General features: G+C 40.8%; 1 protein-coding gene and 1 long non-coding RNA gene across 7 annotated transcripts, besides 1 other annotated feature; one reads left to right on the forward strand and one right to left on the reverse strand.

Moving 5' to 3' along the window:
- Positions 1-167: 167 nt before the first annotated feature.
- Positions 168-6,671, reverse strand: SMIM43 (small integral membrane protein 43). Of its 6 annotated transcripts, none has more exons than NR_169195.2 (6): positions 6,426-6,671; positions 5,002-5,110; positions 3,965-4,033; positions 3,068-3,130; positions 2,776-2,933; positions 168-1,712 (listed from the first exon to the last, which is right to left on the reverse strand). NR_169195.2 is itself a non-coding variant. In NM_001384333.1 (6 exons), exon 1 carries the CDS (start codon positions 6,341-6,343, stop codon positions 6,152-6,154), a length of 192 nt encoding a protein of 63 aa, NP_001371262.1. In that variant the 5' UTR covers positions 6,344-6,402; the 3' UTR covers positions 168-1,712; positions 2,776-2,933; positions 3,068-3,130; positions 3,965-4,033; positions 5,002-5,110; positions 6,055-6,151. The 6 variants fall into 6 exon arrangements, 3 of the variants coding, with proteins under 3 accessions (NP_001371262.1, NP_001371261.1, NP_001371263.1); NR_169194.3 differs by having other exon boundaries at positions 3,965-4,036; NM_001384333.1 differs by lacking the exon at positions 6,426-6,671 and adding an exon at positions 6,055-6,402.
- Positions 2,247-2,416: an enhancer, noted in NCBI's record as "experimental_72694 CRE fragment used in MPRA reporter constructs". NCBI's record gives its function as "activates a minimal promoter by MPRAs in K562 erythroleukemia cells, with activity observed for both the introgressed and non-introgressed 4:122682249 variant alleles {active_cell/tissue: K562}" and the evidence as "EXISTENCE:reporter gene assay evidence [ECO:0000049][PMID:34662402]".
- PP12613 (uncharacterized LOC100192379) lies at positions 5,823-8,046 on the forward strand. The gene has a single exon (NR_024365.1). It is a non-coding gene; the product is annotated as an uncharacterized LOC100192379 (long non-coding RNA).
- The last annotated feature ends 17,389 nt before the right edge of the window (positions 8,047-25,435 follow it).

The following is a 25,435-nucleotide window of genomic DNA, read 5'->3' on the forward strand; positions in this document are numbered from 1 at the left end:
GAAGAATCATTTAATATTTCAAGAAGATAACATTAATTGGCATATAAATTTGCCCATTAAAAAGTAAATTTAACATAAAACTAAATATTTCTATCTATGAATCTCATTCTAAATGACCGTTAACAAAGTTTGGTAATAATAACTCACCAATAAAAAGCCACATTAAAAACTGTGTTACGTATAGTTTATTTTTATTTCATAGCCTTTTAAAAAATATAAGCCACCTAATATTTTGAAAAACATACACAGAATAATCATTTAGCTGCCACAATATTACAAAAATAAAATGACACAGAATAAATTGCACAAGAGAACAAAATAATCTCTGCTGAGTCACTCTGACTAGGAACACATAATAGTCACTAGGAAGGTGAAGTGGAGCAGTACTGCCATTTCTTCATGATCAATTATCACTAAAATCAGTCACAGGAACTATTCCCAGGAGGTCATCCATTCACTATACAGGAATATGTGCAATATATAGATGTCAAGTTAACATCTTGAATTTAATTCCAAATACCATTCTTTCTTTTCCTCTGGGAGACAAATTCAATGGCAAGCTAGAATAGTGAAGACCAGGGGATACCAAGCCCATGACTGACCCACACCTCTCCCAGCTGGTTCTACAACACAAGAAAGAGAATAAAGTATACCGTGCTATCTAACACAATAGCTAGTAGCCCCATTTGGCTATCTGAATTTAAATTAATTACAATTAAACAAAATTTAAATTTTCCTTCCTCAGTCACACTAGCCACATTTCAAGTGTTCACTAGCCACATGTGCCTATATGGTTACCATATTGGACACTGCAGATATAGAACATTTCTGTCATCACAGAAAGTTCTTTTAGACAGCCCTAGATGTGGGAAGTGTTTCTTCTTTGCTTAGCTAGGATGTAGGCTGCTTATAGAAGCAGCTTTGAGAGGCAATTCTTCTCCCAGGATATTCCTAGACTGGTGGTGGAGTCACAGAAAGGAGTAAGGTAGCCTTTCTTTGCGTAGATTCCCCTCCTCCATGCATGAAAGCGATGGTCTTTCTATAGGAATCAAATACACAAACCCAGACTCCACCAAAATATAACTGACAGGAAAATTAGAGAGGAGAGAAATGATACAGATGAGGGAGCAGCGTAATAGAACATTCTTTATCCTACACCAACCCTCCACAAAGAGGTTACGGCCACCAAGGAAGTGCACAGGTACCCAGGGCCCTCTAGAAAATCCTGATGTGGGACAAGGATATTGACTGAGAGAGGTCAGCCCTGTCAAGAGTTTTGTGAGAACACCTGACATGCCTTCACTCTGCTCACTCTGTCAGAGGGGAGCAGTGCTGCTTGGAGCTTTGACAGTTGTGAAGGAACTAGAGTTTTGATCTTTTTGAACTTTATGCTCCTCTGCAACTGTATTCTGTAGCCAGGGCATAAAATGTTAGTTGTCCTCCCAAGATCCACCATCATCTTCTTCTTCATCAAGAGAAACTGGATTTTTGTCAAAGGCAGTTATATATCCAGCTACAAAAACTACATTTCTCAGACAATCTTGCAGATAGCAGTAGCCAATGACACAGTTCTGGCCAATGAGATGAAGGCAAAAGTTATTGGGCTGCTGAGGAAGCTCTTTAAAAGGAAGTGGATTTGAACTGGCATGCCCCGTTTTCTCTGTGGGCTTCCTCCTTCTTCTTGTGGGGTGCTGCGGGGACCATCTTGGAACCTGGAGGAAAAAGCCAAGGGAACCTCAGCAGCCACCTTAATTAAGCCTGACACCCGTGAGCTGCTGAACCAGCACCAGCAGCTGCCTGCCTCTAACCTCCTTGTTCTGTGAGAAAAGAACAAACCCTCTAATTTATTTAAGCCGCTCTTCAGTCCAGAACTTCCTATTCCATTACCAAGATAAAAATTCATCTTGATTCCCAATAGGAAAGTGTGATTTTTCATCTGAAAGGAAAAGACATCTTGCTTGAAGAATCTGTACCTATTCAATAAATTCAAGTAACTTCAGAGTCATACTAATAAAACAAAAGTCGCAGATAATGGTTTTAGCTCAAACCCACCCATGTCCTTCAGGATCTGTCTATACAGACCAAGAATGGCAGAAATGTTTGGGCTTATTATATAAAAAGCTACTATTAAGGAAAAAAACAAGGTTTTTTTAACCTTAATCCATCAGAAAGCTTTTTCTGCATGCTTATTAAGTTCTGATTACTGGGTCTGAACGCCCTTCTGATAATCCACCTTCCGGTATGGGAAGATGCTCATGACTCAGATACTTAATCAGATCATTATTAACCCATAACATTATTTATTTTGTGTAGACAAAATAAAAAGTGGAGGACTGAGAAATTTATTTCACTGATTCAAACAAAAAAAAAAAACTACATCAAAGATTTACAACTCAATTCTTAACCTTCTCTTGTATGTGACACAGACATCTGACAGTGACATTCTAATGATCCTAGAGTTTTAATTGTGGATTTAGCTTAAATATGCACGAATATCTCAGAGTAGCTGTAAAAATTAAAAACAAAGTACAGCACTGTGTAGATACCTTATGCATTACATTAGTATCTTTAGTGTTCTAACAGTCTCTAGATTAGTAAGTGTGACTTAGAAAACAACAAACATTTCCCACTATTCTAAATGGTTTAACCATTTACAAACTTTAAAATTTTGGTCATTTAAAATTTAACTCTATTGCACTGATTTTGAAACTATAGACAAAATTGGAAATATAGAATGTCAAACTAAAAATAGAGTATTTCATATTTTTTACTCACCTAGTTCCAAGTTTCCACCCCTGCAAGCGAACCAAAAACAAATCCTGGCACCTTGCCATTCCCAGAAAAGCCAGTGCATGGCACACTCTGGGTAAATTTTCTCTCTTATTCTGTAGAATCGCACCAGATGGCATCAGTTCTGCATCTACAGCTGTGCCCTAAAATTGAAGTTCAGACATAGGAATCTACTTTATTAGACATTTTAGATTTTGCAGGTGTGAGTGTGATGTCATTCTCATTCAACTTAAAATGGTTATCTTGCCAAGTAGAACTGCAGATCCATTGCACTTACAAGTTTGGAAATTAGTGCAACAGCCAAGATTGTCCTGATAAGATCTGAAGCCATTTTGAACACCTGAAATTTAGAAACAATGATGAAATAATAACATTTGAAATAAAATACAAATATTACATAATAGAATTATGGCTCATTTCCTTATAATGTAAGAAATTCAAGTCACCTTCTAACATTGCTGAAGAATCACTAAAAACCTTTTTATTGAAAATAAAACACAGGAATCTTCTATAATCAAGTTACATTTATATAATAAGCAGTTATGTTAAATGTTCTTGACTTTTCAAGTGCTTTAATGTCTAGCTCATATATATACAGTCTTTAAAAATAGATTTGGCACATAGTGATTGTCAGAACAGGGGATCGTCAGGGGATGGAGTAGCCAACATGTAGAAGCCTGCAACCTAGACCATTGTGGGTGTCAGAGTATTTGATCTAAGCCAAAAATGCATAAAGGTGGCCAAAATTGTGAGTTTGAAAGTAGTTCTAATTTGAGAGATCAGTCTATGTCAGGTCTTGGAAAAATGATGATTGAATAAATAAATAAACAGCAAAAGACAGCTCATCTACAGCTGTCAAAGTTTCAAAAGCAGAGTCTCTAACAAAGCAAGTGCAGGGCAGGAGATCAACAGCAGCAAGATCTAAGAGCAAATGTGAGTTACCTTAATTCCCAGAGCTTAGAGTCAAGTTCCAAGCAGAGGTTGAGTAATAGGAATAAATATTCATTGTGGCCTGGATAAATGGGAACTTGGTCATTAATGAATTTGATTACAAGGAGTTAATAAAATGGCCCTGGATACAAGATAGAAAGGCACCCCTGCTTTCTTAGGAACCTGAGTCAGTAGAACCAGCTGAGAGATTGGATTAATACTGAGATGGTAATAAACTACTCACCCTGACTTTTCAATAGTCTCTTGTTTAGGAAGAATGATGGGCAGGTTAAATTCATGGATACCAGTGGTGCTGCTAGGAAGATTAAAGGATTGTAAACTCAAGAAGGCAAGCATGTGGTTAAAATAATTTCCATTCTGGTTATTCTAAAGTGTGAAATGATTGTTTTCAATCCTTACAAACAACTATAATTGCTAATTAATTACTCCCACACTCATCTTCAATGTCCATATTAACCATACAACCTTTTAACTAAATGCCACTGCAGAGATATCAACCAATTAGAGAACTATTGTTCAAAGCACAATACAGAATCACTGCAGTTGATTCAGGGAGTTCAAACTGGGAATTCAAATCAAGTCTTACCATAACTCTGATAAAGAGGTGAGGATTTGCTCATACCATAATAATTAAAGTAAACCTCTTACTTCATTAAGAACAGGCCTATTTGGGGAGAGTGAAATAGAAAGTGGGAAATTATCTAATGTCTTGGGCCAAAATTATTCACCTGAGACTATTTTTCCTTTGAAGCATTAAAATAATTGTCTTACACTTCACTTTTATATTATCAACTTAGGCAAACTTTAGTATTTCATTGTTTTTAGCCTCTCTATATGGTCTTTGTGTCTAAAATTAGTATTTTCAATACTATAGTTATGACTTAGCTTATCCCACACTGACATGACTAAACCCAAATCTTCCCTTACTGAAGATTGAGTATATCTGCATCACATATTTCACCCCATGAACCCCCGCACTGTTTTTCAAAAGGGCCGAATGATTATTAAAAGTGCAAACACTCCTGACATCTCATTCAAATTTCCACAATCCTCTACTAAGACACTGATTCTTGCAATGAGTTAGGAGTCAGTTTGGCTTTGTGGATCTGGTAGAAGCTCACCAGATTTGAGTGGGAGAGTGCCCTTTCCTTCCTTGTACCCATTTCCCCCATCCTGAACCAACATGTTTTTAGGCCCTGGATCTTTAGAAGTTTAGTCATAACTAAGGCCAACGTGAAACCATGCGTCATCCCAACTTACCATTTGCAGAAAGCTTCCATCTCCCGTTGTTCCAGCCTTCTTTTTGCAGGCCCAAACTGTCATTGCAGCTGTGGTCCCCTGAGCACCAGTCAAGGGCAGCAGCTCGGCTCTAGAAAGAGAGATGACATAAATCTAGGGAAAAGCTACTGAAGGATGAAGATATTTCCCAAACTAACATTAGCGAGAGGGTACTTAGGGCATACTGGTACTCGAGTTTGCTCCTGCCCGCCCATCTTCTGCAAAAGCTCTAGTAATTTAACCTGAAACCACAGACCCGCCTCTCCGTCCTTTTTCCTGTTTCCCTACACTATGCAAACAGTACCTCTTTTAGCTGGCCCTCCATGCCATCACCCAAAAGGTCACGTACCGGCCAACCCTAAGGCATCTTCCAAATGACTCTCACTGTAACGTTCACCATCCGCTGTCCCAGATTCGAAACCTACCCTGCACGGCAATCCGCAAGCACTAACCGTGGTTGGTGGCTAGAATATGAGTAAGGATCACCGGGAGGAAGGGATTCCTCCCTCCAAATGGACGACTGAATCTTCTCTCCCCCACGCCCCACCCCAGCACCACCAGACGAACCCCATTTACCATCTCTCAAAGCGCAAAAATATTTAAAGCAATATTTAAAATACTTTAAGTGCGCCCCGTTTCCTCCTGCCACCCGTCCCAAAGCCCACACAGTCTTTCTCAAAAATGTGGATATTCAGGTTAACCTGCGATTTTGTTCGAAAGTGGCTAAACTGCATTATCCGAATAATTTACTTTTCCACTCCTTGGGTATAACTAAAATGCAGTTGGACAGAAAAGAGCTTGCAGTTGTCCAAAGTCATTCCGGCTCCAAAGGGCGAATTCTCTTTTCGCCATCTCTCCCAGCCCTGGAACAGCTTAGGGTCCCTCTCGAAGAGCACAGCGCCAGCCCAGACCCCATACACCCACCGTCCCTGGCACCCGAACGCGCTGCGAGCCCCGGGCCTCCCACAGGAGCGGAGACGCGGGTCCCTGCGCCTCACGCCGGAACGGACCCGTCAGAGCCGCCGAGCCCCGCACCTGGAAGCTGGGAGGCCGCGAGGACGGAGAATCGAGGCGGAGACCCAGCCCAGCGCCCGCGCAGCTCGGTGCCCTCCCGCCAGTGCCCGCACTCGGGTCACACCGCTTGCTCTCGGGAGAAGCCCCAAGGCTCGCGGTGCACCGAGAGGCGCCCGGGCTGGAGCGCCCCGGCCGTGTTGGCCACGGAGTTCTTCAGCTGCTTGATGACCACGAAGAGCAGGAGGAAAAGTAAGAAGAGCAGGAAGAAGAAGAGCGCCAGGTAGAGCAGCAAGTTGAGTTCCCACTCCATGCTGGAGGCGCCGGCGCTCGCTGGCCCTGCGCGCTCGGCGCGGGCTGCAGCTGGAGGGCGAGCGCGCCGCCCGCACACCCACCTCCCGCACTCCCGCCCCTCGCGAGGGCGTCCCGCTATGGGCGCCGACTCCGGGGTCCGTGCTTTGCCTCCCCCGGCTCCGAGGAAACGCGCCAAGGAGCTGAGGAAATCCGGCGCAGACTCTCCCAGCTGGCACCAAAGCCTTCCGCTTCGCCGAGATCCTCTCAGGTGCTCTTGAGGACGCGAGCGACTTCCCTAGGAGCGAACTTCCGCGGGCACGGACGCCAGAAGAGGTAACAGCTCAGTCTTCCAGGGGAGGTCGGGACTGGTGTTTTGTAAATGATTTAAAAGTTCCACCCCCAACATCCAGTAGGGTCCCTAGCTCCGCTGCGTTCCCAATTAATTTATTTCGTTATATCCCTCCGTTCCTGCTTTCCGAAAGGACAGGGGATGTCATGGCCCAGAGACCCAAAAGAATGAAAGGTGGCAGTGAAGATGGGGTCTGAAAGGCTATGAGATGATTTCGTGCTATGAGGTGTCTGAGTGAATTCCAGTTCGAGCTGTCTTGCTCTTCAGAGTAGCAGATACATTCAGTGTTGAGTGTACTTTTCTATGGACAACAGGTCACTTGGAAACGCATTAAGAATACAATGTATTTCAGAAGTTATATAGCACAAAGATTTCAAATATTGGCCTCAAATTCAGTTTATTTGGTGAAAAGAGGAAAACAAGTTTACTCAAAGTGTTTCTTGAGTCCCTAAAGCCTTTCTGTATCTGGTTGACGTGACCCAAAGCCCATATCGCGCAGCTTTAAAAGCTGTTCAGTGTATCTATTACTGCAGAACAAATTACCCCCAAATTTAGTGGCTTCAAACAGCATAAACATTGATCATCTCTCACAGTTTCTGTGGGTCCGAAATGTGGGAGCACTGGCTGGGTGATTCTGGTGTCGGGTTACTCATGAGGCTCCGTTCAGATGTCAGCCAGGTCTGCCTTCAGCTGAATGCTTGTGTAGAGGTGGAGGATCCACTTCCAGGGTGGCTCACTCACTGCTTGCCAGGTAGGGCTGGTTGTTGGTGGGAGGCCTCAGTTCCCTTCCATGGGTGCTTCCAATACAGCTGCGGGATTCCCCCAGAACAAGTGATGAAAGAAAACAAAGCAGAGGCTGCAGTGCTCTTTACCGCCAGCTTCAGAAGTCACGTGCCATCAGATCTGTAATATCCTACTGGTCACACAGGTCAGCCCTATTCAGGGTAGGAGTCCAAGGACACGAACGCCAAGGAGTAAGGATCACTGGGGCTCATCTTAGAGTCGGCTATGACAGCTGTTAATACAGCCAGCTATCATTGCCCATTTGTAGGCCTAACTTTATTTTATTCTTTATTTGTGAAGATGCAGAATTGCCTCCTGGACTGAATTCTGGGGATGAGGGCTGACAACATCCCAGATTGTAATAAGTGGCTGCTCCAGGGATGACAGGGGTTCAAAGAGACAGGGTGGTATGAAAACAGTCTGTGAACTGCAAGTCTCATGGACCCGATTCTAGTGTCAGCTCTGTCAGTGGTCACTTTTGCTCAGTGACTCTCAGTCCCCTCATCTGTAACATGCCTTGCTTATCTTTCCCTTGGATTTGTTGTGAGGCTCAAAAATGAGAAAATGTTAAATAAAAATGTGTTTTGCTATATAAATGTCAGATACTGTTATTATTCTATTACGAAGGGCCCCCAATGCTACAAGCTATTGTACAAAATTTCCAGGCCCTAGGCCTCTCCATCAAGCATCTTAGTGCATAAGTGAGAAGAATCTTTCTTTCATTTTCTCTTTGTCTCTCTCTCAATAACATTATATTGATCCACTTCATAGGCAGTGGTATGCTGGAGCTGGCTCGTAATGACTCACAGGAGCTGATTGTTAAATTTTGTAAACCAATTTTTAAATTCCAGCTATTATTAAAAGTTAAATTATATAAACCTACAATTATGTTAACAACAAAGGTAATTAATACTCCAAACTCATCACTTTCTAATTATTTTATTAGGTTGGTAAAAAGGCAATCACGGTTTTTGTCATTAAAAGCAAAAACCGTGATTGCTTTTGCACCAACCTCAGTACTACATTTCACTGCTGTCTATGCACTTGAGGTTATTTACATCTGTTGTAGCTGTGTGGTGAAGATGCTGCATAGTGGTATGTTACTGCGCATCTCTTCCCAGCTGTGTTCAGTGCTGTCATGTTGGTAGCTTGAAATTAGCCATGATGAGTGGGTTTGCCTTGAGAAAATGGACAAATGCTACAAATCAGGACCAGGGAGGCAGTTGTTAAATTAACCAGCACAACACTGCTCGTGGGACTATTGAGAGAAATTTGAAGTCTTATACAAGTTTAGCAAAGATTTGTGATTTTTTTTTTTTGACTGCCCAGAATCCACACACCTCCACTCTAAGCACCACATGTTCCTACGGGTGGAATTCTCCATTTTATGTAATCTTGGCAAGAAGACAGATCCCAGTGCCTACTTTCCCTTGCCACCTCCTGTTATGGAAACCAAGGGGATCAGATATATCTTTTACCCACTCCTGATACAGTGTGGGGAGGAGGGCAGGAAGAGCTATGCCAGAAATTTAGCTAAATATCCTTGTCTCCAGTACTCTGAATCTTGGGAGTTGACAGAACAGGAGGAATGTTCGGAAGTCAGATGCATCCCCGTTGCACAGGCAATCTGAGTGCCAGAACAGTCCCAAGAGTGACCTAGCCATGGCTACTGCTACCTGCTTCGACAGCATCCTCAACTCCTGGCCCAGACTGGGCCCTCCTGCTTTCTTTCCATTCCGTAACCTTCCACTGGCTTTCCAGGAAATCTTGCTGCGAGGCAGAGTGGTTAGCGCCAGTTTTCAAAGGAGAATGCTAACCAATTAAGAAAGCATTGCTTAAGTACTTTGCACATGTTAAGCACTCTTAATTAACGAGGTGTTTGGTCGGAAAGGCATGTGATTTGGCACATTGCCATCCAGATATCCAAGGTATCTAAGGATGAAAACTGAAGCATGGAGAGGTTAAGTGACTTGCTGAAGACCACACCGCTGGCAAGTGGCAGGAGAGGGATGTGAACCCAGGAAGTCTGGCTCCAGAGCCTGCACTCCCAACCCTCATGATTGTACTGCCTCTCAGGGAAAAGTATACTTTTGTGTGCATGACCATCAAATTAATCACCATATTTTTTTCTTTTGAGCGTCAGACTAAAAAGAAACACATTTCAAGAGACATATGCCTTCTGCATCTCAGCTCCTACTTTTGAAATCTTGAAGGTCAGAACTTCAAATGAGCCAGTGTTTGCCTGCAGAATGCTGTGGGAAAAGGCCAACGGATGAAGGTTTTATGTTGCCAAGCTCAACCCATGTCAGCCTTTCTAACCATAACTATTTAGATTATCCATTTATCTGAGCAGCTTAAATGGATTTATAGGTTATAGGTGTTAACTAATAAATTCTTATATTCACTCTCCGTAGAATTTGTATTTAAAATAATATTGCTGCCACGAAAAATAACATATTACATTTAGTGGATGCTCCCAATGTTTTTCAGCCTCTGGTCATATTTATGTATCTCATAAAAGGCTCTGAACTTCAGTTTATATTGTATAAATGACTCCATATGAATAAAGCAGAATCTTTCTCTTCCTAAAGATGCTCATTAATGGAAATTCATAGAAAGAAAACCCAAGCATTTTAAAAAGCAGAAAGGATACTCACTATAGATAAGAGCATTGCTGCTTCCAGCAACTAAAAGATGCACAAATGGGTAGGTGGAGGGAGCTGTGTCACTACAATCTCATCCGGCTGCCCACAGTGTGGACCACACATACACTCCCACTAACAGCGTGCCTCGTCCCCCACTCAGAGTTAGACTTCATGCATCTTTCATCTTCTCAGTCTCCTCCCTGTGGGTCTCAAAACAACTAGATATTGCCCCGGAGCTGCCCAAGGTCTTAGCCTATGGACCTCTGTGGCATGGGCAAGATGAGGGTTCCCCTTCCCTTTCCCACCTTATTCCTCCCCACTCTCACCTCTTATAGGAAGCAGGTATTTGATCATAACAAGCATCATAGATATTTATGAGAAATGATTAATGCCAGGAACAGAAAGGTTTATGTGTCTTGTAAATGTGCTTCTATAAAGTGTCTAAACACCTAAGAAGACACCTAGAAAGGGCTGTAAAAATCTACTGTCACAATCCTACCTGGACTTACCTGTTGTGGGAAACTGGAGGATGGAAGCAGCTTCCCCAGGAGAAGGGCAGGATAAGATTGGGAGACAAGAGAAAAAGAGATTTCCGGGCACCTGTCTGAGGCTGACTCAACTTGGCCTGACATGAACCCCTCCAAAAAACAAATGTTTTGCAACATGCTCTGGACTTGAGATGTGTTGTTAACCTGGCTGGTAAGACAGGTTCTTAAGTAACAGCACACCTTCCCAGGTACTGCAGGCCATAAGAACTGCTTAGATGGGATCACCTTAAAGCACCCATGCATGTGCTGGAGATGAGGTCCATACCCCTTGGAAGCTTCCAGGCCCTAGGACACTGTCCTCGCTAGTTAGGACCTGAATCAGCCCCAATGATCTTGGTGACTCCAATGGCCCAGAAATATCCCAGCCATACTATTCACGCCTCTGTGGCACCTCATCTCCCTTGCTTCTGCCCCGTACACAAAAACACCACCATGTTCATTTCTGTGGAGGAGATACAAACTGGACCTCTTTGAAATTGCTCCTTGTTTATACTCTTTATCACCCCTACAACCCTCTAGATCAGAATTAGAAAGGCTAAGAGAATGTTTGCTGCTATAGGAGAACAGAAAAGTGAATTGTTCTGCCTGAGGGAGTTGTATAAAGTTCATCAGCTGTTACTGTAACACCCCATGACAGGATTTGCTCTTTACACCTTCACCTCTTCCCAGATCCCATCCTCAAATGAATGACTTCAGCAGTTATACAGGGCATATAAAATGAGACGCTCTTCAGGAAATAAGTAAAATTTATGTGATAAGCTATTTAAATTTCATGTAACCATTTAGGAATTCCAGTGAGAAGGAAGTAAGGACGGGTGGGAGGAAGGGAGAGAGGGAGAAAGGGAGAAAGGGAGGGAGGGAAGACAAAGAAAAGAAATCTAATAAAGAAATTTACTGGAGGGGTATGTGGGAGATAGTCCTATGTGGGTAGCCCTTGAAATCCGGAATTCACCACTAAGAATAGTTTTGTGAAAAATACTCTGGATTCTGTCCTTGATTTAGAATGTCTTTAAACACAGCAGAAGATACACTAAGTCTGTTCAATATTGGAAAAGAAAAATATTAAGTGACAGATTGTAATTGCAGCCAAATGCTATATCTTCAGTTTGGATTCTGCAGTAAATTAACAGGAACATTGAAAAAAGTCAGTGTGACTGTGGCCAACCCTGGACTTGATCAATACTATGTCATGTAGCAAAATAAAGAATCTGAGCATTATCGAGCAATGTATCTTTTGTTCAGCATAACTTTAATGGCAGTGGAGAAACTGTTGCTGCTGATGACAGGTCTGCAAGCTCCTGCACGAGTTGACGATGAAGAGCGTTGAGCTTGCACACACACACAAGACAAAAATTGGGCAGTCCAGAGGGGGGAAAGGAATAATAAAAGTAGATTTTGTCTGTAACTCCTACATCCTTACTGAAACACCAGCTTGTGAGATCTAACCACCTCAACATCTAGGGCTTGCACTCCCAGACCTCATGACCCAATCTGCCTTCCAGACATGTGCAGGTAGACACTGTGGCACAGACTGGCAGCAAACACACTTGGGTTCCAGTCCCAGCCCTAGATACTCGGCCTTTTACTACACCATATACTGTAGTGCTGCAAGTGGCAACAAGACTTTATTTCGATATCTACCTCTTCTCCATGCATCCCATGTGACTTAGAGGAAACCGTTCCAGGGAAGTGGGTCCAGAATGGTCTAAAATGCATTCAGGGAATATGAAGTTTTGTTGTTTTTTTTTTGGTCCAGGAGGGCACATCTGATGTAAATTGATCTAATCTAACTGAAGTCTTACAGTGTCTAAAAAAGAAAATAAAACCACTATAAGTATCTAAAGTAGGGGAATTTAATACTGTTTAAGCTAGTAAAATTAGTTACAAGGCTGTTGAATGGTAGAAGGAGTAAAAAGGAGACAGTAAGTTTACCACAAGATTGTAGCTCTCCTGGACTAGAGAAGCAAAGGGGAAAATGGGATTACACAGAGCCCATGATCACTGTGTCAGGAAAGCCCCCACAGTGTCTATGGCTGCTGCTGCCAGTGGAGAAGTCTAATCTCCCAACTGGATCCGAGGACTGGGCTCACCAGCCACCTCCCAAGACACCACCAGAAGCCAGAAAACAAAGAAGTCTTCTCCCTTTCGCTCATCTTCCAACATCCTGGCAGTGCCTCCCATTATGACATTACCTGATGGGAAGCTGGGTGGCGGGGGAGTCTAGGCTCTCAGCAAGATGGTCGAGAGGAGAGAAGGGCAGGAATGAAGCTGAAATACAACAGGCATTACCCAGCACAGGAAGTACACATGATCCACGCACTGGGGAGAAGGTTCTCTCCCATGCATGTCAAATATAAGTAAATAAGAATGGCAGCCCAGTTTCTGGTGGCAGCCACCTTATGTCCATGGGGAGAACCAGCCACAGCTGAATTGATAAATGGCACATCAGAGAGAACCTGATTCCCTGATGGCACTATTGGGCCAGTAAATCCATCAATCTTGAAGGCTTGCCTACTGCTGGGCATTCTATTTTGTACAAAAATGCATTTCATTATTGTTTAAGCTGGTTTGAGTTTGATTATTTTGAACTGCTGGAGGCACCCTAAGATATATTCAAAAGCCTCAGTTTTCTTATCTGTCAAATGGGGTAATAGCATGTTAATGACATCTACTTGAATAAGGCTGTTGTAACTGTTAAATGGAATAATACGTGTAAAGCACCTGGCATTTAGTAAGCACCTAACAAATGACAGTTTGTGTTATTATTATTACTATCATTTTTAATGGAGGTAACAATATTTCTAACTGTTTTGCCATGCAAATATTGTTTAATAATAAATGTGGTCAGCCACTCCAGGCCAGCCCTCCATCCCTGCCATATACAGCTTTCCATGCTGAGGGCTTCATACCACCATCCACCACACAGTTTCCACCTCCCTTTTTTCCTCCTCGTAAGAACACTGGAGCCACCACCAGGACCTGGAGACTGGATCAATCTGGAGCTCTTCATCTCCCACGGGTCTACTTTCCATACCTCACTATGGAAGCAGTAGGATGATGTGGAGAGGAACCATGCTGAGAAACTGGTAAAAGAGCAGAACCAATAAGGTGACCTAATCCTCAGATCATCAGGAAACCAGACCATGAAACTAGGAGTGTAAGCCCAGTACAAAGGAGTACGTTTACATTTTTTAAAGTATTGTGTCTTTACTGAAATTATCTAAATAGCCCACTGAAATTACCCAAATTATGAAACAACCCTGGGTTGTGTGACTTTCTTGAGACTCATTATGTGAATGAGCAGGTGTAAGCAGCTTGCATGAAGTGGCCATAGAATCTGGCATGTGGAGCATCTCTTTGACAAGCCTAGGCTTGAGGCTGGGAACTCATGGCCGTGGGGTTGACTTTCCATGGTCACCAATATACTACACACATCTTTGGATTATCTTCACTCTTCCCATAGACCGTACCAATCTATCTACCTGTTTTTCCCTTCAATATTTGTATCATTCATTTCAATGAAGTAAGTTGCTACTGGAAAAAAAAAGGAAGGAATGAAACCCTAGCCCCAGACTCCTTGAGGGGATGGATTTGAGGTTTCCTCCTGTCTCTCCTCCTTGGACCAGGCCAATGATTAAACCTCTTTCAACCAAGAGTGTTAGCTCATGCCTGTAATCCCAGCATGTTGGGAGGCTGAGGCAGGTGGATCACTTGAGGTCAGGAGTTTGAGCCCAGCCTGGCCAACATGGTGAAACTCCATCTCTATTAAAAATACAAAACAGTAACCGGGCGTGGTGGCGTGTGCCTGTAATCCCAGCTACTCAGGAGGCTGAGGCACGAGAATCGCTTGAGCCTGGGAGGCAGAGGCTGCAGTGAGCTGAAATCCCGCCACTGCAGTCCAGCTTGGGTGACAGAGTGAGGCTCTGTGTTAAAAAAAAAAAAAAAAAAAAACCACGAAGGAAGGAAGGTAGTTAGTTCCCAAATGACTCTGATGATTAACTAGATGTGGGAATCACTATTCTAGTTCAACTTCTTTATACTGCAGATAAAGACCTTGAAACCTAATGAGAATAAGTGACTTACCCAAAGTCAGACACAGAGGAAGTACAAAAGTGAAAACTGCAATTCAGGTTGAGTGTCTGGTAGTTATGTCCTTTCCACCAATTGAGAATTCCTTTCTTTTCTTTTTAAACTATGTAGCCATTTTCCTATAGTTAGAATTGTTTTCAAAATGGTAATTTTGCCTCTGAATTAGAATTAATTAAAACGCACATTGAACTTTTAAAAAATTATTAATTCACAATATAATAGACTGCAGTGTTTTATCTAAGAGAACTCAAAGAAATGAATTCTTCAAAAAATAAGACAATTATAATTTTTCAATCAAAAATAATATTAATAATTTTTTAAAGTTTAATGAAAATAATGTTTCTTAATTACCACAGTACCTGGAAGTTCTGCAAGTGAATCACTCACTTGAAAGATTTTGAATAAAGCTAACCTTCTCCTGTCTGTGTTAGATCTTCTCCATATGCCTTTCAGGTCTACCCTCCACCCTGCTGTGTGTCCCATTAGCTCACATTGATTAGCCACCTCTTGCCCTACACTTTCTGCTAGGCTTTTTCCAAGGGAGGCACCACTGAAGGATGGAAGCAGAGAGGGGTTGTGGTATTTATTCCCTGGCCCCTCCCTGCTAGGCTGGAAGTTAATCATAGCCAACTCCCTCCTCTAGAGTCCTCAGTGTCTAGTAGCTGCTGATCTCATCAGGTTCCAGTACCCACCTTCTCCCTTTGCCTCTTTGAGATTATGGATGGTAACAGTTTCCCGCTGTTGCTGTCACCCCTTCATTACCATCTGCTATGAACTAATTGTTTGCTATAGTCTGAATATGCCCCCCCTCAAAAATTCAGGTGTTGTCAATGTGAGAGTAATAAGAGGTGAGGGTTTAAGAAGTTATTAGGTCATGAGGGCTCCTCCCCCATGAGTGGAATTAAAACTCTTACAAAAGAGGCTTCTTGCAGCATTCATTTGGCAAGCTTGCCCTTCCACCTTCTGCCTTGCTGGGGCACAGCATTCCTCCTCTCAGGAGGATGCAGCCCTCACCAGACAACCAAACTGCAGCAACTTGATCTTGGACTTTTCAGCCTCCAGAATGGTGAGAAATACATTTATCTTCTTTATAAATTACCCAGTCTCAGATATGCTGTTCCAGCAGCACAAAACAAACTAAGATAATATTTGTGTCCCCCTGCCCCAATTCATATGTTAAATCCTAATCCTGGAAGCTTAGGAGGTGGACCTTAGATAGACTATTAGGTCATGAGGGCAGCACTCTCACGAATGGGATGAGTGCCCTTAAAAGAGACCACAGAGCGCTCCCTCACCCCTTCTAATATGTGAGGACACAGTGAGATGACAGCCATCTATGAACCAGGAAGTGGGCCCTCACCAGACACATAATCTGAGGGCACCTTGACCTTGTACTTCCCAGCCTCCAAGACTGTGAGAAGTAAGTTGTTTAAGCCACCTAGTCTATGGTATTGTTGGTACAGCAACCCAAACAGAGTAAGACACCAACTCTTTGATCACCCCTTTAGAGGATGCCTGGCTCTTGGCAGGCCCCTGAGTGATACTCCACTCAGGCATTTCTCTTCTGCCTCTGCATCGCTTCGGGGATGGCATTCTAGATGGCTCCACTGTGAATTAGCTGTGTGTCTTCAGGAAAATTGTTTAACCTTTCTGACACTAAAGTTCATCAACAGTAAAAATAAAACATTGCAGGATTGTTTTAAGAATCAAATGACATATTTATGTTAAAGCATTTTATAATGATAATCTACTACATTAGAGGTAAAACCAATGATCGATGTTTGTTTTCAATTTTATTAATTTTTATATATAGAAATACATTGTTGAAACTTTGTCTATTTCAAAAAAATTCAGTATATTAGGGGACTGAAAGAGAAGCTATTTTATGTACAAATGATGATATGCCTATGCGGTAAACTGAGGAACTAATATTGACTCAATCCCTACTGTCTGGTAAAACAATTTCACAGCTTTTTCTGTGGAAATTATGAATCTGCTTGTGTGATGACCTTGATAGAGGGGGTGTTTACATCATCCAGGTGGTCTCCTAAAATACTTGGAAACATTATAATCCATTTGATTTGCATCTAGGTAAATGTTTCTTATAGACAGCATTTTTTCTTTTCTTTTTCTTTCTGAACATGGTAAAATACACTTAACATAAAATTTACCATCCTACTTACTTTTAAGTGTATAGTCCAGTGATATTACATATACTCCCTTTCTCGTGCAACATTACCACCATCCATGTCCAGAATTTTTCCATCTTGCAAAACTGAAACTCTATGCCCATTAAACAACTGCCCATTTCCTCCTTCCTCCAGCCCGTGGCAACAGCCATTCTAATTTCTGTCTTTATGAATTTTACTACTCTAGGTACCTCATATAAGTGGATTCAGTAACTTTCTTTTCTGTGACTGGCTTATTTCACTTAGCATAATGTCCTCAAGTTTCATTCATGTTGTAGCATATGTCTGAATCTCCTTCCTTTTTAAGGCTGAATAATATTCTGTGATGGTTAATTTTATGTGTCAGTTGGACTGGGCCCTGGGGTGCCCAGACATTTAGTCAAACATTATTCCAGGTGTGCCTGTGAGGGTGTTTCTGGAGGACATTAACATTCTCCTCGTGGTTCTGTTTCTCTGGAGAACCCTGACTAATACATATTCCATTATTTGCATATGCCACTCCTGTAGATATATTTTATTTTGATTAAAACTACGGTTTCACCATATGATCTGAAACATTAAAGTAATCTATTTTAGTCGTAAGTTCTAGGAAAGCATACACATATCCCTCCTGGACTATTTCCTTAGAGTTTAAGTATGTTAACATAGAAAGCCACAATGCTGTTTTGCAGTTATGAATAATATTTCTACTTAGTTTTCTATATTTGGAGAGGCCAGTTCCACAGTCGCTAAGGTATAGGCTTGGTATGATTGCCTCCGTAATACGTCATATTAGAAGGCCCATTGTCATGAATACCAATTGTGGTTTACAACAGAAACCCTTGGTGAGAGATTCTAAGGCCTCTAGTTGGAAATATATCTGGAAATTAATTTTGCTATCCCCTTCATAAACCAGCTATCAAATGACTGCCTACCCAAGCCTCCCTCTGGCTTTCGTATCAGCCATCTGGAAGCCACTGTGAATCTATCCAAGGAATCTTCTAACTCTCCCCTCTGAAATCATTATTCCCGATTAGAAGCTGCTGGCTTGGAGAGAGAAGCAAGGACTCTTTTTATCACTTTATACTTAAGTGCTTTGTTGTAGCTTAGTGGCTCTGAACACCTAAACACCAAGATGATCAGCATTATAGAGATGGCCAACCTGAAAGCATTTTTTTCAAGAATTCAAAAGCTATGGTTATAAATTCACCAACAGGAAATTGTCTTACAGTTGTTGTTGTTTTTTTTTTTAATAACCTGTGAATCATTGTAAAAAGAAAATGTTCTGGGTGTTTGCGAAACTTGTGTTATTTGAACACTAATACCGTCTTGAGGTTTTCTTTTGCTCCATCACAGATACTGTTGGTTGAACTAAGTGATGCTATTATAGTCATTACTCAATAATGAAAAAGAGGACTTGTGACATCTGAAGAAAATGCGTATTCCTTGTCACTTGTACACATCTGGCTCTTGTGTGTGGCCCCTCATAATCATGGCCTCTTCAAATGCTGTATGGCTGAGCTGGGGGGCTATGATTTTCACTATGCATCACCAAGAATTATGTTTCTCCACCCACCCCAGCTGTGGTTGAACCGTTTCTCACCTTTAAGAAGAAATGAACACACAACTCATTATATAAAGCTCAGCACCTGCTACTTACATATTTTTCACATTTAATGTTTTCATCTATCCTGTGTATCTTGTCAGATGAAAAAGTATTTTGCAAGAGGAAAACAGCTATATATCAGTTTCATCGTTTTGCTGATGCCTTGGTTATATTTACCTGTAAGACTTTTCCTCCTTCTCCAAATTTCTTCAGATTTTCTGGTGTTGTGGAAAGAGTATTGGTTGAAAACTTCAGAACCTGGATTCTCACCATCCCCTGCCAGCATAAGCCATACAACATCGCACATGTCTTAAACTTCATTGTGGTTCTGTTCCTCAAACTGGGGGATTAAGCATAATTATCTCCAAATCCCTTCTAGTTCCAAAATTCAAATAGCTTATCATTTTTTACTGCCAAAACAAGGGATGGTGGAAGAGAGAGATTATCAGAATGAGTTGCTGCCAGCTGCCAGGATGACAGAGTAGGTGGGGAACCCAGACTGCTTTCTTTCAGGGGAGTCATTGGCTCCTGGAAGGGCCTCTGACACATTTGCTGAAGAGGTTCCTTCACGGCTCACTGCTCATTCCAGCCACGACTTTATTCCTTTTATTAATACATTAAGTAAGTGGGGTTATTCATGTGTCACCTACATATCAGCCACATTTTCACTGTGTGCAAACCACAAACAGGACTCAGCACAACATGTTGTTTCCCTCATGGAGAAAAATCACTCCACAAAGCACGACTGAACAATGTAGACAGCACGTGGAGTTGTCTCCTTTTTATAACCTTTCTTCCCCAGCAAAGTTGTCACTTCTCCCTCCTTTCCTTTCTTTGTTATGCAGGAAACCTAGGTGCCAACCTGAGCTAATTTCTACCTGTAGGTTTATCAAATTGCCTTTTAAATAAAATTGCCTCTGCCCCCAAGGAATTCTCCTACTAGCTGAGAAGAAGATATTTTTCCCGAGTATTACACATACCTCTTCAACTTCTCTGATCCAGCCCAAACCATTTCCAAGTAGAAAAGGATGTGAAAGAAAGAAAGCTATGTTGATAAGACCTCCCACCTATGCTTCTGAGGACAGGGCTTCATGCACTGTGTGATGGCATGCAGTTTTTAGTCTCTTTCAGGTTATTTATTCAAATAAATAAAAATTCATTTGTACAGGCTTAAGAATGAAACTTTCCCCATCTCTACCTCCCTGAGAAAAAGGCTTCTCTTCATCTTTAATTTTGAACAAAAAGTGGTCTTATCTTACAAATTCCTTTTTAAATACTAAAGAGCATTAATAGAGCATTTTTTGTTATCAAGCATCTGACAATCCATTATTTTATATCTTCTTTAACATCACAATAATTATTTCACAACAGTCTTATAAAGCTATTACATTTGGTATGCTATTTGGTATTTACGCATTTCTAATGAGATTTACAGATTTAGTCTGCCAAAGAAATAATGTGATATTTGCTCCCAGCTTCAACACAAGCAGAATACTAATGTGAAGAATGACTATTTTGTCTACCATCCTGTGATAAACTATTGATAATCATAATTGTAAAATAATTGATACATAATGGCAATGTGTTTCTACTCTATGAGCTGTATTTTTTTAATACTATGAAATTAAATTATGAAATAAGCCTTGTAGAGATGTCAAAATTATACTATCCTAGTGAAATATATAAGGGATAAAATAGTACTATGTCCTTTCGCTGAACTGTTAAATAAAGACAGTCTTTTTCTAAAGGAAATATACAAATTGTTTAAACTTATCACTGCAGATTCAACTTTGTCAAAATTTAACAGTTATTAATCTGGTATGTCTAGTATTTTTTAAAGGCATATTGTGGAAAACATTGTTTCATCGTAAAGTGTGGTGACTTAGTCCCTGAGGTCTGGAGCCAGCTGCCTAAATTAATAAATCTTGGCTTTACTCCTAACTACCATGTAACTTCAACTCCTGGTGAGTCAGTTGCCTCATCTATAAAATGGAGGTAATAATATTACTCTCATCATTGGGTTGTTGTGAAGATTAAGTGGTTTAATACATGTAAAATGCTTAGAACATTGTCAAGAACATAATAAGCGCTCAATAATGGTTAACTATCATTCTTATTGTTAACATGTCACAAGTCAGGGTATTAACATACCGATGTCAGCGCCAATCTGTAAGCACTCTTGTGATGACAGAAACCAGCTGTATGCTTCATTGCTCACCACACTAATCACACGTACCATTCTCCAGCTATTGTTTCTGCTGGTATTCGGTATGTTTATGGGTTTTTTTTAACTTTTTTTTTTTTTTGAGACGAAGTTTCACTCTTGTCGCCCAGGCTGGAGTGCAATGGCATGATCTTGGCTTACTGCAACCTCTGCCTCCTGGGTTAAGGCGATTCACCTGCCTCAACCTCCCGAGTAGCTGGTGCCTGCCACCACGCCTGGCTAATTTTTATATTTTTAGTAGAGGCTAGTCTCAAACTCTTGACCTCAGATGATCTGCCCACCTTGGCCTCCCAAAGTGCTAAGATTATAGGCATGAGCCACCACGCCCAGCCTAAACTTTTATATATACATCTATATATAGGGAAATACGGACATATATTTTTAGAGACAGGGTCTCTTTACATTGCCCAGGCTGGCCTCTAACTCCTGAGTTCAAGCGATTTTCCTGTCTTGGCCTCCTGAATAGCCAGGACTATAGGCATGCACCAGGGTCCCTGGTTGTTTTTTATGTTTACATTTTTGATACATCCAGAATTTAATTTTTGATATGGCGTAGAGATCCGTCCTTTTTTTTCCATTTGACTACCCAGTTCTCCAAGAATCATTCATTCAGTGAATAATCCATCTTTTCTATTACATTTTCCTTGTTCATTCACTCTCCACAACCTTCGACCAAAAGTCTTCAAACTAGGTTTCAGATACACCTAAGGGTATATGAAGACTTTCTAAAGGGCACATGAAGGTCAGACACAATGGCTCATGCCTGTAATCCCAGCACTTTGGGAGGCTGAGGTGGGAGGACCTCTTGAGCCCAGGAATTCAAGAGCAGAGCAGCCTGAGCAAAACAGTGAGACCCCCTTCTCTACAAACAAATAAAAATAAATGAATAAATAAAGGCAGATGAACATGGTTAATTTTATGACTATGTCCAAATACTCAACATCTACATACTTTTTCCTAAAATTGTTTGTCTAAGAAGATGTCTGTCATCAAGGGTACCCTTGCCTCTCTTTTTTCCTCACTCTCACCTTTATTTCTTAGAGCAGTTTTAGGTTCACAACAAAACTGAGCAGAAAGTACAGAGTTTTCTCATATACGTCCCCTTCTCTGCACACACAGCCATCCTATCAACAGATCACTGTCACTGTCCCCCACCAGAGCTGTACATTTGTCACCATCAATGAACCTGCATGGGTATGTCATTACCCAGAGTTCATAGTTCACATCAGGGTTCTCTCTTGGTGTTATATGCTCTATGGGTTTGGACAAGTGTGTAATAACAGGTATCCACCATTACAGGATCACACAGAATAGTTTCACTGCTCTAAAAATCCTCTGTGTTCCACCTATTCATTCCTGCCTCTCTCCTAACATCTGACAACCAGTGATCTTTTCACTGTTTCAATAGTTTTGGCTTTTCCAGGGTGTCATATAATTGGAATCATACAGTATGCAGTCTTTTTAGATTGGTTTCTTTCACTTAGCAATAGGTCAAGGGTCTGTTTTCTTTCTTTCCTTTTTTTTTTTTTTTTTGAGACTCACTCTGTCACCAGGCTGGGGTGCAGTGGCGTGATCTCGGCTCATTGCAACCTTCGTCTCCCCGGTTCAAGCGATTCTCCTGCCTCAGCCTCCCAAGTAGCTGGGACTACAGGTGTGTGCCACCACACCCAGTTAATTTTTGTATTTTTAGTAGAGATGGGGTTTCACCATGTTGACCAGGATGGTCTCGATATCTTGACCTCATGATCAGTCCGCCTCGGCCTCCCAAACTGCTAGGATTAAAGGCATGAGCCACCGTGCCCGACTGGGTCTATTTTCATAGTCTGCTTTCCAGATTTTTTTCCCCACCTTAACAATATCTTACTGACTCCTAACTTATCCTAACTCCTATCACACATTGCCAAATCAAGAAGAAATCCAGCAATCCTTTGATCAAGGCACCATAATACATCCTCTCCTATCCCCTCATTAAGAGATAGGTTTCCAATAAATTGTACTTCTTAGGTGACAAGAAACAAGCTTTTTCCTGCTGCACAGCTTCAGTGGCTCTCTCCCTACTCCACCAGCTTCTAGCCAATGACAGCCTCACTGAGCTCCAAATATTTCCTTTTTCTAAGACGGTCATCCCACCTCTAGGAAGCCCCACTGTCACATAGTCAAATAAGTGCTCCCTGTCTCCTCTTAGTGCCCCAGGTTTCCACAAGTAAGGTCCTGAACCTACACACCCCTCTCTGCGGGATGATGATTTGAGAGATTCTGTGTGCTTTGCTGGTGTCTCTTTGATATAAGACTTCCAATAAACCTTCTTACTGCCCCTCTGTGTATCATCCATGGGGATTGTGCCAACTAATAGTCATATAAGAATGGTTTATCAAAATTTATAATGTATGCTGTTTTAATCAAATGTATATCACCAGTATTTAGAATAACAAGTAAATCCAAAAGAAATTGTTTTATACATGGGGTCAAAGGACATATATTTTATATGAAGAATGACTACCAATTGAATTACCAATTGAAGACATTCAATATAAATATATTACATTAGGATAAACATCTATTGGAGACGTAGAATAGAAATGGAAGTTGAAAGAGAAAAAGGATGATGTGAAATTTCTAACTATTGGAGAGGAGCTTGTTTATTAATGTTTTAAATGGACGCTGGTGATGGATTCCAAATTACTGTGGTATCTGTATTTCCACTGGAGAGTGATAGAAAAGCTTCACTTTAAAATATAAATATTTACAATGTGCCATAAACAATATCCTTTGCTGCTGTTTAAATTTATGATGAAATATTTAAGATGTCAATTTTAAAATATTTGAGAGGGTACATCACTTTTCAGGAAGCTTTTAGAGGGACTGATTTTTAAATAATCCTAAAATATATCCTAGGCTGCATTATTTCTTATATTCCCAGCTAATGCCTGTAATCCCAGCACTTTGGGAGGCCAAGGGAAGAGGATTGCTTGAGGTCAGGAGTTAGAGACCAACCTAGGCAACATAATGAGATCTCATGTCTACTGAGAAAAAAAAAAAAAAAAAAAAAAACTTAGCCAAGTGTGTAGAGTGCCTATTGTCTCAGCTACTCAGGAGGCTAAAGTGAGAGGATCACTTAAGCCCAGGGGTTTGAGGCTGCATTGAGCTATGCTCACACCACTGCACTCCAAGCTGGGCAACAAAATGCGATCCTGTTTCTAAAAATAAATAAATAATAATGATAACATATATTTGTAGACCAATTAACAGGGCACTTTTACATACATTATCTAATTTGATCCCAACTGCAATCTTCAATTAAGAATGAAGTGCTTTCTGCAAAGTGCACAAATTCAATTCCAACTATGTGAAGAGACATGGGTAGAATTTCCTAAATTGTTCCCAAAGATGAGCATAGTCTAAACCTAAAGAGTTATTTGGCATTATTTTCCAATTTAATAATGTCAGTATTCTTCATTCAAATATATTTTGTTCTTATGTTACAGAAAGTTTTTTAAAATATAAGAGTGATGGGGGGGTTGGTTTTATTGTTATATCATTAAAAATTTAGATCTGGAAAGCATGTTAATAAAACTATGTCAAGAAAAATCAAATCACTTGTCAAAGGTAGTGGCAGAACACAAGTTGGAAACTGGAAACTCTGATTCTCTGCTCAAAAATCAATCATTTAAGAAAGATTTTATCTTAGCTCGGACACATGGATGGACACTTTCTCTTTTTAAAAACATGTTTATTGAAATATAATTTACATACACTCCTTTAATTACATAATTATATATCATTATATATTAATATATAATTTAAGTACACTACTTTACAGTATACAGTTCAGTGGTTTTTGATATATTACAGACTTGTGAAACCATAATCATAACCCAATTTTAGAACATTACATCATCCCCCAAAGAAACCTTGGACCCACTGTCAGTCACTCTCCATTCCCCTTTCTCCTTACCACCTCCTTCCTTCCTCACTCCCACAATACCAGTAATCTACTTTCTGTCTCTAAATTCTTCTTTTTTCGAATATTTTATATCAATGAGAACATACACTATGTGGTCTTTCTTGACTGGCTTCTTTCACTTAGCATAATGTTTCTGAGGTTCATCCCTATTGTGGCATGTAACATGTATCAATAAAAAATTCCTCTTTATTGCTAAATAACATTCCATTTAACTAATGGCTATAGTACATTTTGTCTATTTATTCTCTAACTGATGGACATTTACATCATTTCTACTTTTTGGCTATTGTGAATAATGTTTCTTTGAACATTTGTGTACAAGTGTTTATGTGAGCATGTTTTCATTTCTCTTGGGTGGATATGTAGGAGTGGAGTTGCTGGGTCATATATTTAACTCTGTTAACTTATGTAACTCTATGTTTAACATTATGAGGAACTGCCAAACTGTTTTCCAAAGTGGTTGTACAATTTTACCTTCCCACCAGCAATATGCAGGGGTCCCAATTTCTCCACATCCTCACCAACACTTGTTATGTCTGTCTTTTATATTATAGCCAACCTAGTGGGTGTGAAGAGTAGATTGACTTAATCAAGATTCACCAAATAGTTGTGGAACTCCCCACTTCATTTCACCAAATAGATTCAAAATCAAAAACACAAACTTTATCATGAACATACAGAGTTATCTAACAAATCGACAAAAGGTTTCTAATGTCTGATTGCAACTGTACTGTG

The sequence above is a fragment of the Homo sapiens genome, chromosome 4 (assembly GCF_000001405.40).
Source record: "Homo sapiens chromosome 4, GRCh38.p14 Primary Assembly".
NCBI lineage: Eukaryota > Metazoa > Chordata > Mammalia > Primates > Hominidae > Homo > Homo sapiens.